The 17,058-nt window shown below is 44.5% G+C and overlaps 6 annotated features.

The window, feature by feature from the left end:
• Nucleotides 3,782–4,509: an enhancer, noted in NCBI's record as "H3K27ac-H3K4me1 hESC enhancer chr2:74419967-74420694 (GRCh37/hg19 assembly coordinates)". NCBI's record gives its function as "activates a minimal SCP1, AML or CMV promoter by ChIP-STARR-seq in primed H9 embryonic stem cells {active_cell/tissue: H9 hESC(primed)}" and the evidence as "EXISTENCE:reporter gene assay evidence [ECO:0000049][PMID:30033119]".
• Nucleotides 4,510–5,236: an enhancer, noted in NCBI's record as "NANOG-H3K27ac hESC enhancer chr2:74419240-74419966 (GRCh37/hg19 assembly coordinates)". NCBI's record gives its function as "activates a minimal SCP1, AML or CMV promoter by ChIP-STARR-seq in primed H9 embryonic stem cells {active_cell/tissue: H9 hESC(primed)}" and the evidence as "EXISTENCE:reporter gene assay evidence [ECO:0000049][PMID:30033119]".
• Nucleotides 8,314–8,986: an enhancer, noted in NCBI's record as "OCT4-NANOG-H3K27ac-H3K4me1 hESC enhancer chr2:74415490-74416162 (GRCh37/hg19 assembly coordinates)". NCBI's record gives its function as "activates a minimal SCP1, AML or CMV promoter by ChIP-STARR-seq in naive H9 embryonic stem cells {active_cell/tissue: H9 hESC(naive)}" and the evidence as "EXISTENCE:reporter gene assay evidence [ECO:0000049][PMID:30033119]".
• Nucleotides 8,987–9,660: an enhancer, noted in NCBI's record as "OCT4-NANOG-H3K27ac-H3K4me1 hESC enhancer chr2:74414816-74415489 (GRCh37/hg19 assembly coordinates)". NCBI's record gives its function as "activates a minimal SCP1, AML or CMV promoter by ChIP-STARR-seq in naive H9 embryonic stem cells {active_cell/tissue: H9 hESC(naive)}" and the evidence as "EXISTENCE:reporter gene assay evidence [ECO:0000049][PMID:30033119]".
• Nucleotides 15,394–15,523: an enhancer, noted in NCBI's record as "active region_16047". NCBI's record gives its function as "activates an Ori minimal core promoter by ATAC-STARR-seq in GM12878 lymphoblastoid cells {active_cell/tissue: GM12878}" and the evidence as "EXISTENCE:reporter gene assay evidence [ECO:0000049][PMID:35858748]".
• Nucleotides 15,534–15,673: an enhancer, noted in NCBI's record as "active region_16046". NCBI's record gives its function as "activates an Ori minimal core promoter by ATAC-STARR-seq in GM12878 lymphoblastoid cells {active_cell/tissue: GM12878}" and the evidence as "EXISTENCE:reporter gene assay evidence [ECO:0000049][PMID:35858748]".

The raw sequence follows: 17,058 nt of genomic DNA, 5'->3' as shown, positions 1-17,058 counted from the left end.
TCCTGTCAACACCTTGACCTTTACTTCTAGCCTCCAGGAAGGAAAGGAAAATGGTAAATTTACAGTGAAGAAACATGACAGTTACTGCTTCAACCACGTGATCAAAGTTAGCACCACCCAGTAAGGGAACACACATATATGCCTTCTGATAGGATCCATTGAGGAGACACATCACTTCGTAGCTCTTAACAAGTCTGTAAATTTAATAAGGTGATTTTCCTAAACCAATGAGTCTCCTAAAAACGGTTACAGATTCCTCATTTCACATTGAGAAGAAAGATCACAGACCTAGAATGTTAAAACTGTCCAGGAAAAAAAACAGTTGTAAAGCTTTGGAACACACTAGTAGATCTTAATCTATTCACAAGGAAATATCAGACAAGCCCAAAGTGAGAGATATTCTACAAGATAAATTGCTTGTACTCTTGACAGCTCCAAGGCCATGAAAGACAAAGAATGAGAAACTGTTCTCCATTAAAGGAGCCTAGGCATGACAGCTAAATGCTGTTTGATTCTGGATTGGATTCTGGACCCAAAACTTTTTGTCTTTCTTTTTTTCTCTTTCTTGCTTCTTTTTTTCTCTCTTTTGCTATAGATGACATTATAGGACAATTGGCAAAATATGAATAAAGTCTGCAACTAGCTAATAGCATTTTATCAGTGTTAGCTAATCGCATGCAGTAATGTAAGAGAATATATTGCACTTGCTTCTAGTACTAAAGGACCATGTCTGTAACTTACTTTTGAATAGTTCAGAAAAAAATAATGCTTTGTATGTATAAGTTGGCTAGGGCTGCCATAACAAAATAACACAGACTGAGTCATTTAAACAACAGAAATGGGCTGAGTGCAGTGGCTCACGCCTGTAATCCCAGCACTTTGGGAGGCTGAGGCAGGCGGATCACCTCAGATCAGGATTTTGAGACCACCCTGGCCAACATGGTGAAACCCTGTCTCTACTAAAAATATAAAAATTAGCCAGGCATGGTTTCACATGCCTGTAATCCCAGCTACTTGAGAGACTGAGGCAGGAGAATTGCTAGAATCCAGGAGGCCGACGTTGCAGTGAGCCGAGATCGCACCACTGCACTTTAGCCTGGGCAACAGTGAGACTCGATCTAAAAAAAAAAAAAAAAGAAAGAAATGTATTTTCTAACAGTTCTGGGGGCTAGAAGCGAAGGTCAAGGTGTTGGCAGGATTGGTTTCTCCTGAGGCTTGCAGTCCTTGGCTTACAGAGGGCTGCATGCCTGCTGTGTTATGGCCTTTTCTGTGTGTGCACATGCAACCCTGACGTCTCTCTCTGAATATCTTTTATTATTTTACTTTTTTTGTTGTTGTTTTGAGACATGGTCTCACTCTCGTCGCCCAGGCTGGAGTGCAATGGTGCGCCTTCAGCTCACTACAGCCTCAACCTCCTGGATTCAGGTGATCCTTCCACCTCAGCCTCCCCAGCAGCTGGTACTGTAGTCATGCGCCACCACATCAGCCTAATTTTTTGTATTTTTAGTACAGACCGGGCTTCGCCATGTTGCCCAAGTAAGCCTTGAACTCTTGGGCTCAAGGAATTCACCTGTCTTGGCCTCCCAAAGTGCTGGGATTATAAGCATGAGCCACCATGCCCGGCCTCTCCGAATGTCTTAATCTCCTCTTATAAAGAAACCAATCAGATTAATTTAGAGCCTACCCTAACAGCCCCATTTTAACCATTTTAATCATTGTTTTAAAGGCCTTATTTCCAAATAGAGTCACATTCCAAGGTCAGAGTGTCAACACTGAATTTTGGAGAGGATACAATTCAGTCCATAACAATGTATATACATAAAAAAAAAACCCATAAAACAAGTGGCAAATGTAAAATATTAACAAGTGGGGAAGAGTATACAAGTATTCTTTGAACTTTTCCTGTAACCTTTCTGTATGTCTGAAATAATGTCAAAAATTTTTTAAAAGACCAGTAATTTTTTTTTCTCTTCTTTTCTTTTTCTTTTTTTTTTTTTTTTTGAGATAGAGTCTCACTGTGTCACCCAGGCTGGAATGCAATGGCATGATCTTGGCTCACTGCAACCTCCGCATCCTGGGTTCAAGTGATTCTCGTGCCTCAGCCTACCAAGTAGCTGGGATTACAGGCATGTGCCACTATGCCTGGCTAATTTTTGTATTTTTAGTAAAGATGGGGTTTCCCCATGTTGGCCAGGCTAAAAAGATCAGTAATATTTATGCCCTTATGGGGCATGGAGTGAGGCAGGCATACAATGAATAAGAGACTAAGAAAAAGAATGTGATGCTGAGAGCCCACAAAACAATGGATATGGAAGGTTTAGAGGTCAGAGAATGGCCTACAGGTTATATAACTGGTGATAAGACTGGGTGTGATAATTTGCAGATCCTGTCCCCAGTACGCTGTGGGGAGGAGGCACCTTAGAGTTACTTGAACCTAGCAACAGTGATTGAAGAGGGAAAGGAAATACACATTTCCCATCTTTTAAGGAAACTAACCCTCCATCCCTCTGCAAAATTTGGGAAATTTTCTTTTCCCAAAATGTGAACTTTCAGGAATGAATTGAAACCGCCTTTGCAAACATTGTTAACAGCGATCTAACATTTAGTTAGACCACTTTCATTAATGATCTGATCTAACCAACTTCATCTTGCCTTTAACTTCCAAACTTCCCTTGGTCATTCCTGGGCATGGACAAAACTATCCTTGAAACACCCAAACTTTCTGGGAGGCTGATTTGAGTAATAATAAAACTCTGGCCTGGCGCGGTGGCTCATGCCTGTAATCCCAGCACTTTGGGAGGCCGAGGTGGGTGGATCACAAGGTCAGGAGTTTGATACCAGCCCGGCCAACATGGTGAAACCCCGTCTCTACTAAAAATACAAAAAAAAAAAAAAAAAAAAAAAAATTAGCCAGGCATGGTGGCATGCACCTGTAATCCCAACTACTCAGGAGGCTGAGACAGGAGAATTGCTTGAACCCGGGAGGCGGGAGGTCACAGTGAGCCACTGCGCTTCAGCCTGGGTGACAGAGCAAGACTCTGTCTCAAAAAAAAAAAAAAAAATTCCAGTCTTCGGTTTAGCCAGCTCTCTGTGTATTAAACGCTCTCTGTATTATAATTCCTGTGTCTTGATAAATGGGCTGTATCTAGGCAGCAGGCAAGATGAGCCCACTGGGGAGTTACGAAACCCATGTGTGAACATTATTATATATTTTTAATATGCTTCACAAAAGGACCTGCTTCTACGCTCCCACTCTCTTAAAATATCATTTATTTAGACTAGGCTAAATAGTCTAACAGGCTAAATAGTCTAACAGGGTGGCTCATGCCTGTAATCCCAGTGCTTTGAGAGGCTGAGGTGGGAGAATTGCTTGAGCCCAGGAGTTCAAGACCAGCCTGGGCAACATCGTGAGACCCCATCTCTACAAAAAAATAAAAAACTTAGCCAGGCGTTGTGGTGCACACCTGTGGTCCCAGCTATTCGGGAGGCTGAGATGGAAGGATCACTTGACCCCGGAGGTTGAGGCAGCAGTGAGCTATGATTGGATTACTGCACTCCAGTGTGGGTGACAGAGATTCTGTCTCGGCCGGGCACAGGGGCTCACGCCTGTAATCCCAGCACTTTAGGAGGCAGAGGCGGGCGGATCATGAGGTCAAGAGATCGAGACAATCCTGGCCAACATGGTGAAACCCTATGTCTACTAAAAATACAAAAATTATCTGGGCATGGTGGCACATGCCTGTAGTCCCAGCTACTCAGGAGGCTGAGGCAGAAGAATCGCTTAAACCCAGGAGGCAGAGGCTGTAGTGAGCCGAGATCATGCCACTGCACTCCAGTCTGACAACAGAACGAGATTCTGTCCCAAAAATAAAAATAAATAAAATAATAATAATAATAATAATAATAATAATAATGAAATGGGCTGGGCATGGTGGCTCACACCTGTAATCCCAGCACTTCGGGAGGCCAAGGTGGGAGGATCACTTCAGCCCAGGAGTTTGAGACCAGCCTGGGCAACATAGTGACACCCTGTGAAAGGAAAATTAATTTCAGACTCTAAAATCACTAAACTGAGGGGAAAGTCAAGCTGGGAACTATGTCAGGCAAACCTGCCTTCCAATTTATTCCCCAATAAGATAGCTACAAAGATTAAAAAAAAAAAAAAAAAAGAAAGCTGCATATCTTCCTCACAATTTGCCCACAAGGAAATTCCTTGTGGGTCTCAAGATCTTTACCTGAAAACAGTTCTGTTGAATTTCATCCTGGCAATGTAAATTGATAGATGATCTTCACAGATGCAGGACAGAAAGTCATCCCTCTGCTTACCTGAGACAAATGCATATCTGATTGCTTCCTCTGCCCTATTGTTTTGTTTTGTTTTGTTTGTTTTTGTTTTTTTTTGAGAGAGAGTTTCGCTCTTGTTGCCCAGACTGGAGTGCAATGGCGTGATCTCAGCTCACTGCAACCTCCGCCCCCTGGGTTCAAGTGATTCTCCTGCCTCAGCCTCCCGAGTAGCTGGGATTACAGGTGCCCGCCACTATGCCCAGCTGATTTTTATATTTTACTAGAGATGGGGTATCATCCTGTTGGCCAGGCTGGTCTCGAACTCCTGACCTCAGGAGATCTGCTCGCCTTGGCCTCCAAAGTGCTGGGATTTCAGGCGTGAGCCACTGTGTCCGGCCTCCCCTATTGTTTATGTAAAAATGCAGATTCACTGAGCCAGACTAAATTGTGTATTCAGTGAAACGCTGATCAAGGACTCAAAAGAATGCAGCCTTTTGTATCTTATCTACCTATGACGTAAAAGCCTCCCCACACCACTCCCCACTTTGAATTGTCCCATCTTTTGGGACCGAATTAATGTACATATTACACATATTGATTGATGTCTCATGTCTCCCTCAAATGAATAAAAGTAAGCTGTACCCTGACCACCTTGGGCACATGTAATCAGGACCTTCTGATGTGGCTGTATCATGGGTGCATGCTTAAGCTTGGCAAACTAAACTTTCTAAATAGATTGAGACCTATCTCAAATATTTTGGGTTCACATTCTGTCTTTAAAAAATATTTTAAAATTAGCTGGCTTTGGTGGCATGCACCTGTAGTCTTGAAGCAGCCTCATTGTCTGGGGTAAAACCTGAGGTTCATTGTCTCACAGCCACAGAGATCAAGGACATGGACACACAAAGAGTGAGGTTAACAGCAGGAAGTTTAATAGGCAAAAGAAAGAAAATAGCTCTCTGCTACAGAGAGGGGTCCCAGAAAAATGGGTTGTCGACCCACGGTGAAATGCAGAAGGTTTTATAGATGAGCTGGTTGGAAAGTTGTGTCTGATCTACGTAGGGCACAAAAAGCTGGTTAGGACCAGGTGTGCCATTTGCATGGGGCACGATTTTCTGGCAGCCCCCACCCCAGTATTTTATTATGCAGGCGGGTTTTCAGCCTAAGCTGTGCCATGTTGCCCACTTCTTTCTTACTGTACACGTGCTAACAAAAAGGAAGATGAAGCTTCCATGATGGACATGCCTGGCCCCCAGGTACCCCTTTTCTATTGACACAGCTGCCAGCATTCCCCTGTGCAATGTTCCAGCTTGCTTACCTATGTTTGCAGCTAGATTTTTCAGGCTACTTTTTGTTAGGAGAAAACTAATTTCTTGGGCTGCTTTTTGTTAGAAAGGAAGCTCTGCTGAGGACTCATTTGCCCTCACTATCTGCCTAAATAATTTCTTTCTACCTCCTGTATCAGTCTCAGCTACTGGGGAGGCTGAGACAGGAGGAAGGCTTGATCCCGGGATGCACCTTGTGCTACTGCACTCCACCCTGGGTGACAGAGCAAGAACCTGTTTCAAAATAATGATAAAAATAAAATAAAATCTCTTTTGTTTAACAAAAATATTTTTTGCCCCAATTTTAGTCCAAATTCTGTGAGGTGGAGGTGCTCAAGCCTGTCTATATCCCACCCCAGCTAGTCTTTCTGCCTCGTCTTTCTTTGCTCTGCCCTCTATACTCTAAGCATACCCTGCACTTCTGCATGGTGTTTGATTACACTCCTTTCTCTGCTCCCTGTACCCCTACCCTGCCTGACTTAAAAACCTGGCCCCTAGTCCTCCACTTTAAGTGAGTCTGAATGCTTCATAGACACATAACCAGGAATCAGGACCGCACATAGGCAAAATAAACTTTTTGCTGCAACACAAAACAGACAGAATGAATTGCATTTTCCTCTGGGCTATTGTAGCATGTAGGAATACTCCTATTGCAACTCTAAGAACATCTTGATGTTGTTTGTGCACCTGTCTATCTTCAACAATAGTGGATGTAGGCTTATTTAACCAGGGCAATTTATATCTCATGATTCATCTCATTCATCTTTAGTGTGCAAGCAGACAGCACATTAATGACCAAACATATCTTTTTTTTTTGAGATGGAGTATTGCTCTGTCACTCAGGCTACAGTGCAGTGGCGCAATCTCAGCTCACTGCATCCTCCGCCTGCCAGGTTCAAGTGATTCTCCTGCCTCAGCCTCCTGAGTAGCTGGGATTACAGGCGCACGCCACCACGCCCAGCTAATTTTTATATTTTTAGTAGAGACGGGGTTTCACCATGTTGGTCAGGCTGGTCTCGAACTCCTGACCTCGTGATCTGCTCACCTCAGCATCCAAAGTGCTGGGATTACAGGAGTGAGCCACCACGCCCAGGCTTTTTTTTTTTTTAGACAGAGATTGAGGTCTCATTCTGTCACCCAGGCTGGAGTGCAGTGGCACGATCTCGGCTCACAGCAACCTCCACTTCCTGGGTTCAAGCAATTATGCTGCCAGTGACAGGGCCCCTCTGTACATCTTCATGAACCAAGGGGGATGAAAGGCAGCTGCTTAAGGATCCCGTGTTTGGAGAACTCCGACCTGAGAATTTGGGCTTAGGTGCCTCTTCAACTCTTGTTTGTTGCCTTGAACTAGGGGTGCTTTCAGTTTAAGGGGCACCTCTGGATTTGGGAGGAGTCAATGTGGCACCTAAGTAGATGCAAAGAGATTTTCTTCTAATTTCAAGGAAAAGTAAGGAAATCTTACTTATTTAACAGGATAGAAAAAGGGATAGGGAGTCAAAGGGTGAGGAATAAGGGCACTACGTTTATGGACCATTAATCATGCATCAGGCACTGTGCTAGATTCTTCCCCTACATTTATTCATAATGCTAACCTTCCTGTGAGGTCAATACTGTATCATATTATCTCTATATTAAAAAAGAAGAGACAGATTCACAAAGTGAAAGTAATTTGCCCATGGTCACCAGCTAGTAATGGCAGTGCCAGGATTAAATATAAGCCTGTCTTCATCCAAAATCCATGTTCATCCACAAAACCTAACTAGTACTGTTGTTAGTTCTGGTTGAAGACAGGGCATTTGGCAGAACACATTGGCCAGAATGCAGGAGAAGGAACCCCTGACAAGGTCACAGAAGACTTAAGGAAATGATTCGTACTGAAGGTTACACTCTAACAAACCTTTTTCTTTTCCTCTCCCTCCCCTTCTCCTTTCCCCTCTCCTTCCCTTCCCTCCCCGTCCTTTTCCTTCTTTTCCATCTTCTTTGTTTTCTTCCTCCTTTTTCTTCTTTTTTGCCTGCTAAAACAACTCTTGGCTGGGCCCAATGGCTCACACCTGTAATCCTAGCACTTTGGGAGGCTGAGGCCAGCGGATCACTTGAGCCCAGGAGTTCGAGACCAGCCTGGGCAACATGGTAAAAGCCTGTCTCTACTAAAAATAGAAATACATGCTGAGTGTGGTGGTGTGCACCTGTAGTCCCAGCTACTCAGGAGGCCGAGGTGGGAGGATCACCTGAGCTCGGGAGGTGGAGGAGGCAGTGAGCCAAGATCATGCCACTGTACTCCAGCCTGGGTGACAGAGTGAATTTAATTTCACTCTGTGAAATTAAGGAGGTGACAGAATAAATTTAACTTATTCGTTAATTTTTAAAAACCAAACAACTCTTATTAAATTTTTGCCATCTATGAAAATTTTGGGCTGGGTGTGGTGGCTTATGCCTGTAATCCTAGCACTTTGGGAGGTCAAGGCAAGAGGATTGCTTGAGCCCAAGAGTTCAAGACCAGCCTGGGCAACACAGTGGGACCTTCAAAAAATACAAAAATTAGCCAGGCGTGGTGGTGTGTGCCTATAATCCTAGCTACTTGGCCAAGGTGGGAAGATGGCTCGAGTGTGGAAGGTTGAGGCTGCAGCGAGCCATGATCACACCACTGCAGTCCAGCCTGGGTGACAGAGCGAGACCCTGTCTCAAAAAAAAAAAAAATAAAAATAAAAATTTTGTATGATTGTTTTATGAAATAGAGATGATGTTCACCAATGTGCTTAAAAATAAATTATTCTGACAGTAGCACCAGAAGTTGTTTTGGAGATGATTGTCTGACTTCCTTCAGTACTTAGATGCCGATTCATCATGTTTTTGCTTATCATCTCCTTACAATTAATTACAAGTGAATTGTAGCCATAATTATCATGAAAAAAGTTCTACACAGTTATTAGTCCTGATTTTATTAAATTGAACTTTTTTTTTTTTTTTTTTGAGATAGGGTCTTGTTCTGTTACCCAAGCTAGAATGTAGTGGTCCCAACATGGCTCACTGCAGCCTCGACCTCCTGGGCTCAAGTGATCCTCCCACCTTGGCCTCTCAAAGTGCTGAGATGACAGTGATGCAGGATTTTTCTTGGTCACTTTGCCAGCCAGGGACCTCCATGGCCAGTGTCATCCCCACCTGGGCCTGTTGGCCCCAGGCCTGCCACAGGAGTTGCCCCGTCCACTTGGCCAGCTGGGCCACACCTGGCTTGCACACTGGCCCAGATCCTGTGCTGGCTGCAGGATCCGCGCTCATCCCACAGCTATGCTGGGCATGCCCCAACCCGCCTGTGTTGCAGCTCGTATCCACATTTGGCAATCCCTGAGTTCTTGTCCTGCATCCAGGAAGAATGAGGTTATGCTGACAGTGGAAGTGTGAGGAGGGTGGAGAAGAATTTTATTGAGTGACAGAACAGCTCTTAGTGGAGAGGAGATGACAGGGTGATCCCCCACCCAAAGTCAGATGGTCTCCCTCCCAGTATGGCTGGTTGCAGGGCTTTTATGGGCTCAGAACGGGGAGTGTGTGCTGATAGGTTTGTGAGTATGCAAAAAGGCTAAAACAAAGGCACCACTCAAAGGTGGGCATGACAGTGTAAAAAACCAATTAGGGAAGGTAAGTATATGTAAAATAGGTGAAGGGTGGGAATCAATCAGAGGAAAGCATACCAAACAGGAAGAGAGGCTCTCAATCCAGTCCATGGATTTACCCAGGACTCGTAGCTTGACTTTCAGGCTTTAAAACTGTCTTTGGTTTGAAGGTTGGGTTTCACCAGGGACCTGCCCCTGTCTGCCTAGGCATTTGTCTGCCTCCTGCCACTATCGATGCTCCACATTCAGCATTTTAAAGTTAGTAACAATATTGGGAGAAATGATTTGCTGCAGAGAACAACGTAACTAACAGTTAGCCCTTACTATGTGCTAGTCACTGTACCAACTGCTTTATGCTTAGTAACTCACTTAATCCTCGCAATGACCCTATAAAGCAGTATACTACTATTATTCTCATTCTACAGAAGAGGAAATTGAGGCACAAAGAGGTAAGTAACCTCACACAGATAGTAAGTGGCCAATCTAATTTTCAAATCCATTTTCTTTCTTTCTTAAGATACAAGAGAAATAATCATTTTTGAACTTTAAGAGAGAAGGAAAGAAGTCAACAACACAAACCTTAGCTTCTGACTAATAATAATAGCCAGTATGAGGGGAAGCAGGGAAAAAGTACATTAACAAAATAATAATAATAACCAACATATACCACTTACCGTTCTGAGCATTTTACATGCATATTTAATCTTCACATTGGTCCTACTCTTATTCCTATTTTGCAGATGAGGAAACTGAGGCACAAAGAGGTTAAATAACTTACATTAGTTACACAACTAGTGAGTTAGAGTTAAGACAACAAAGGAAAATAATAAAAATATAAAAGTAGAGGCATTTTGGCTGAGCACAGTGGTTCTCGCCTAAAATCCCAGCACTTTGGGAGGCCGAGGCAGGTGGATCACCTGAGGTCAGGAGTTCAAGACAAGCCTGGCCAGTGTGGTGAAACCCTGTCTCCACTAAAAAATACAAATATTAGCCAGGGATGGTGGCACATACCTGTAGTCTCAGCTACGTGGGAGGCTGAGGCAGGAGAATTGCTTGAACCTGGGAGGCCGCAGTTACAGTGAGCCAAGATCGCGCCATTGCATTCCAGCCTAGGCAACAGAGCAAGACTTCGTCTCAAGAAGAAAAAAAAAAAGAGTAGAGGCATTTTAAAACTTCAGAGTGGGCCAGACGCGGTGGCTCATGCCTATAATCCCAGCACTTTGGGAGGCCGAGTGGGCAGATCGCCTGAGGTCAGAAGTTCAAGACCGGCCTGGCCAACATAGTGAAACCCCATTCCTACTAAACCCCATTTCTACTTTAGCCGGGCGTGGTGGTGCATGCCTGTAATCCCAGCTACTCAGGAGGCTGAGGTGGGAGAATTGCTTGAATCCAGGAGGCAGAGGTTGCAGTGAGCCGAGATCGCGCCTTTACACTCCAGCCTGGGCGACAAGAGCAAGACTCTGTCTCAAAAAAATAAAAAACTTCAGGGTGATTGGGGTCTCTCCACAGTTGAAAACAATATTAGGCAAATTTTTGTCAACAATATGAGCCAAAATTTTGTCATCATATCTCACTCAAAAGTGCACCTTCAGGCCAGGCACGGTGGCTCACGCCTGTAATCCCAGCACTTTGGGAGGCCGAGGCGGGCAGATCTCCTGAGGTCAGGAGTTTGAGACCAGCCTGGCCAACATGGTGAAACCCTGTCTCTACTAAAAATGCAAAAATTAGCCGGGTGTGGTGGCATGTGCCTGTAATCCCAGCTACTCGGGAGGCTGAGACAGGAGAATCGGGCAGAGGTTGCAATGAGCTAATATCGCACCACTGCACTCCAGCCTGGACGACAGAGCGAGACTCTATCACAAAAAAAAAAAAAATGCACCTTCAGAGAAGGCTACTCTGTAGTCAGAGAACTACAGGCCGTGCCTGGCAACATAGATTGTCATCTGTACCCTTGATTCCTGCCTGAATCCCTCCCCCTAGACCAATGTCTTTTGTGGGTGTTCACTCCTGAACCACTGCCGTGGAGCGTGACAATGAGAATGCTGTCAGAGGACTTTCCCAATGTCACCACATTTATCAACTTCCTCCTTCTGTCCTCCTCTTACAGGAACTTTCAAGATCATTGAATAGATCATTCTTTTTTTTTTTTTTTTTTTTTTTTTTTTTTTTTTTTTTGAGACGGAGTCTCGCTCTGTCGCCCAGGCTAGAGTGCAGTGGTGTGATCTCGGCTCACTGCAAGCTCCGACTCTCGGGCTCACGCCATTCTCCTGCCTCAGCCTCCCGTGTAGCTGGGACTACAGGCGCCCACCAACACACCCGGCTAATTTTTTCTATTTTTAGTAGAGACGGGGTTTCACCGTGTTAACCAGGATGGTCTCGATCTCCTGAGCTTGTGATCTGCCCTCCTCAGCCTCCCAAAGTGCTGGGATTACGGCGTGAGCCACCGCACCCGGCCGAATAGATCATTCTTAAACACTCTTCTCTTGCTTTTGTAATACTCCCTCTTAGTTTCCCTTCCGTTTCTCTGACTGCCTCTTCTCAACCTCCTTTGTAAGTTTCTTCCCTTGTGGTCTTTAAATGTCGGAAGTCTGGGCCGGGCGCGGTGGCTCATGCCTGTAATCCCACCACTTTGTGAGGCCAAAGCGGGCAGATCACGAGGTCAGGAGTTTGAGACCACCCTGACCAACATGGTGAAACCCTGTCTCTACTAAAAATACAAAAATTAGCCGGGCGTCATGGTGCGCGTCTGTAATCCCGGCTACTCAGGAGGCTGAGGCAGGAGAATTGCTTGAACCTGGGAGGCTGAGGTTGCAGTGAGCCGAGATGGCACCACTGCATTCCAGCCTGGGTGACAAAGCGAGACTCCATCTCAAAAAAAAAAAGAAAAAAAAAAAAGGTTCAAGACGACCAGCCTGGCCAACATGGTGAAACCCATCTCCACTAAGAATACAAAAATTAGCTGGGCGTGGTGGCATGTACCTGTAATCCCAGCTACTCGGGAGGCTGAGGTACGAGAATTGCTTGAACCCAGGAGGTAGAGGTTGCAGTGAGCCAAGATCGCACCACTGCACTCCAGCCTGGATGACAGATCAAGACTGTCTCGAAAAAAAAAATATATATATATATGTATATATAAATATATATTATAAATATATATATCAGACATCCTCAAGGCTCCATTTTGGCACCTCTTCCTCTTTACCGTCCCCTCAGCTATTTTACGCACTTCCATGTCTGTAAATATCTATATGCTGATAACTCCCAAGTTTATATCCATCCATCCAGGCCTCTTCTTTGAGTTCCAAATCTGTATATATCTATATAGTCTAACATTTCAGAGTTAATGCATCCAAAACAGACCCCTGATGTACCCCTAAAGCTACTTTCTTCCCACCCAGTCTTTTCCATCTCAGTAAATGGGAACAACCAGCTACCAGCTGCTTGTGCCAAAGACACAGGAATCAGCCTTGACTCCACATCCAGCTCTTCATTGAGACTTGTGTATTTTTTTCTCTAAAATAAATCTCAATTCCATCTACCTCTCTCTATTGACCTAGGCCAGGTCAACTCCATCTCCTACTCAGACAAATACAATAACCTCTTAACTGCTTCGCTTTTTTTTTTTTGACAGGGGCTTACTCTATCACCCTGGCTAGAGTGCGGTGGATTGATTACAGCTCACAGCATCCTCAACCTCTCAGGCTCAAGCAATCCTCTCACCTTAGCCTCTTGAGTAGCTAGGACTACAGGCACATCACCACACCTGGCTAATTTTTGTATTTTTTGTAGAGATGGAGTCTCCCTATGTTTCCCAGGCTGATCTTGAACTCCTAGGCTCAAGGATCCTCCCCGCTTAATCTCCCAAAATGCTGGGGTTACAGGTGTGAGCCACCACCCCTGGCCACTGTCTCGGTTTTTTAAAGAGTAAATGGTGTCATGCTTGTCCTGAAACCCTTTCAATGTCTGGCCACCTTGCTCCAAATAAGATCCAAGATTCTTGGTGGCTGGTTTCATCTCCCCTCACTTTCCCCCTTGTCTGTCACATTCTCATCACACTGGGCTTTTTTCAGTTCCTTGAACACAACAAACTCTTACTTGCTTCAGAACCTTCGCACATGCTATGGACTCTGAGCAGATCTCTTTTTTCTCTCCATTCAGCTAACTCATCTTCTGGAGACTAGGCTTAAATGACATCTCCTAAGACTCCTCAGTCTCTCTTAGGTCTCTCTTGTAACATGCTTTAAAAAAAAATGTTGCCAGGCACAGTGGCTCACTCATGCCTGTAATCCCAGAAATTTGGGAGACTAAGGAGGGAGGATCCTTGAGCCCAGGAGTTCAAAACCATAGTGAGACCCTGTCTCTACAAAATAAAAAAATTTAGCCAGGTGTGGTGGAGTGAGCCTCTAGTCCCAACTACTTGGGAGACTGAGGTGGGAGGATCACTTGACCCTGGGAGGTTGAGGCTGCAATGAGCTACGGTCACACTACTGCATTCTAGCCTGGGTGACAGAGCCAGATCCTGTCTCAAAAAAAATTTTTTTTGAATTACTGTTAAAAAATTTTTTTAAGCCAGTTAAATTTACCAGTAGGGGATTGTATATTAACTTTAGTGACACTAATATTTGTTTGTTGAGACAGGGTCTCACTCTGTTGCCCAGGCTGCAGTGCAGTGGCACGATCTTGGCTCACTGCAACCTCTGCCTCCCAGGTTCAAGCAATTCTCCTGCCTCAGCCTCCCAAGTAGATGGGAATACAGGCGTGCACCACCACGCCCGGCTAATTTTTGTATTTATTTAATTTAATTTTTTTTTTTGAGACACAGTTTTGCTCTTATTGCCCAGGCTAGAGTGCAATGGCGTGATCTCGGCTCACCGCAACCTCCACCTCCCAGGTTCAAGCGATTCTCCTGCCTCAGCCTTCCCAAGTAGCTGGGATTATAGGCATGTGCCACCAAGCCCGGCTAATTTTGTATTTTTAGTAGTGATGGGGTTCTCCATGTGGGTCAGGCTGGTCTCGAACTCCCGACCTCAGGTGATCCGCCCACCTCGGCCTCCCAAAGTGCTGAGATTACAGGCGTGAGCCACCGCGCCTGGCCTATTTTATTTCATTTTTGAGTCAGAGTCTTGCTCAGTCACCCAGGCTGGAGTGCAGTGGTATGATCTCAGCTCACTGCAGCCTCTGCCTACTGGGTTCAAGTGATTCTCGTGCCTCAGCCTCCCAGCCTCAGCTGGGACTACAGGCACACGCCACTATGCCTGGCTAATTTTTGTATTTTTTTTTCTTTTTCTGTTTTTTTTGAGACAGAGTCTGGCTCTGTCGTCCAGGCTGGAGTGCAGTGGTGCGATTTCGGCTCACTGCAACCTCCGCCTCCAGGGTTCAAGTGATTCTCCTGCCTCAGCCTCCCTAGTAGCTGGGACCACAGGTGCACGCCACCACGCCCGGCTAATTTTTGTATTTTTAGTAGAGATGGGGGTTTCACCATGTTGGCCAGGCTGGTCTCGAACTCTTGGCTTCAAGTGATCTGCCGACCTTGGCCTCCCAAAGTGCTGGGATTACAGGCGTAAGCGACCATGCCCAGCCGCTGAGTGAGTTTTTGATTTCTGATAAATTGGGATTTCTCCTTCACAGTCTGCAAAGTCTGCAACCTGAGTACTGAGATAATGGACAGGGACAGCTTACCAACTTATTTTATTTTATTTTTATTTTTTTGAGGCAGGGTCTCTCTCTGATGCCCAGGCTGGAGTGCAGTGGCACAGTCTCCTTTCACTGCAGCCTGGACTTCCTGGGCTCAAGGGATCCTCCCACCTCAGCCTCCAGAGTAGCTGGGACTACAGACTCAAGTCACCATGCCCAGCTAATTTTTGTATTTTTTGTAGAGAAGGGGTTTCACCATGTTGCCCAGGCTGGTTAGCAACTTTACTGTTTGTTTCTCTTCACCTATTTGTGACAAAGATTAAAATTCCTTAATCTGTCACAGGAGTAGAGTTTTTTGTTTGTTTGTTTTTGTTTAAAAAAAAAAAAAAAAGCTTGAGCTCCCAACAGCACCAACTGGCTGGGAGGGGCAGGAACGTTACTGCGACCAAAGTGGGAAGATGCCCTGTGTGGGTGAGGTTGTTAGGGTAAAACGGGAGTTTTGCAAATGATAGGATGGGCACTTACACAGAATGAAAATGCAGAGTTGCAAATCCTGCCTCAGGGAGCTAGAAAGGGGAACTGTGTGTGATGAAAGGCGGGTGGGGAGAGGTTCAGAAGATCTAGTCCTGGAGGCCTCATAATTTGCCGCTTAGCTTCTGCTTTCAGCATCTGCTGTGACCAGATGGTGTGCAGTGATCTCTGGCCGGCTAAGCCAAGAAGTGAATAAAACTTCTTCGGTCTTTGTATAGACCTTGTCTGGTAGGGAACAAATTGTCCTGTAGCAATTAGCAATGAACAATTTCTTTTTCTCTCTTTTACTGGAAAAATCTTATCTTTGATATCTAAGTGAACTATGTTGATATCGTGCTTAAATATTGATTGAGGATTTTTCCCTAACCCTGAAATCCTCCCTCCCTGCTACCCCAACCAAATTTAGCCATCCTGAAAGGTTTTTCTTATAAATAGCTGGACTTCTATCCTCAGTGATTCTTCAACTTGAAGAAAAATACCATTGAAAGAGGGAAACCTTTCATGAATTTCTTTTTTCCCATGTTATTTGGAAATTGTTTTTATGATATTATTTAAGTAATATAAATTACCACAGAAGTATAAATAGATGTACCTTTTTTCTTTTTTTTTTTTGAGACAGGGCCTCACTTTTGTCACCCAGGCTGGAGTACAGTGGTGTGATCTCGGCTCGTTGCAGCCTCTACCTCCAGGGCTCAACCCATCCTCCCGCCTCAGCTTCCCAAGTAGCTGGGACTATAGGCGTGCACCCCCACACCCGGCTATCTTTTTTTTTTTTTGTAGAGATGGGGGTTTGCCATGTTGCCTAGGCTGGTCCCAAACCCCTGAGCTCAAGTGATCTGCCCACTTTAGCCTCACAAAGTGCTGGGATTACAGGTGTGAGCCACCTCGCCCGGCCTAAATCTGTGTTCCTATATTTGTAACTTCCATATAGCGATATCAAATCGCATTTATTTATAAATCAAATTCCAAAAAACTACAAAAGTTTAAAAAATTAAAATTATTAATTTATTTTTTTCAGGGGAGGAAAAAGAGTATGTAAATTTGCTTTACATAACTGACTGAAAAATATATTCAAGAAATAGTAAATATAATTTAATACAGTCTCATGTGCCCTAACATCATTAACTTAATGTGACAAGTGATATATGAATGAAATAAAATTACTGGAAACATGAACATTGTGCAGTCAGGTACAGGGCAAACTCCTTTACATTGAGCACCCTGCACCACCATTTGCTGAGCTATGACTGAAGTCTCCCACTATTTTCCTTTTGTTTTCTTCATTCCACCATGGTGGAATGAAGGCGTTGCTTGGCTGTCACTTGGCATTAATACCACACAAAAGCCTGTACATGAATGTTCACGACAGCATTATTAATAATAGACAAAAAGTGGAAACAACCCAAATGTTCCTCAACAGATGAATGGGTAAACAGAATGTGGTATATTCACATAATGGAATATTACTCATCCATAGAAAGAAATAAAGTTTTTTTCTTTTTTCTTTTTTTTTTTTTTGTTTTAGAGACAGGATCTGGCTCTGTCACCCAGGCTGGAGTGAAGTGGCGCCATCTTGGCTCACTGCAGCCTCCATCTCCTGGACTCAAGGAATCCTCCCGCCTCAGCCTCCCGAATAGCTGTGACCACTGGCACACACCATTACGCCTGGCTAATTT

This window comes from Homo sapiens, chromosome 2, assembly GCF_000001405.40.
Source record: "Homo sapiens chromosome 2, GRCh38.p14 Primary Assembly".
In the NCBI taxonomy this organism is placed as follows: Eukaryota; Metazoa; Chordata; class Mammalia; order Primates; family Hominidae; genus Homo; species Homo sapiens.
The sequence above is the reverse complement of the archived record's forward strand: the minus strand, read 5'-3'. Positions and strand labels throughout refer to the sequence as shown.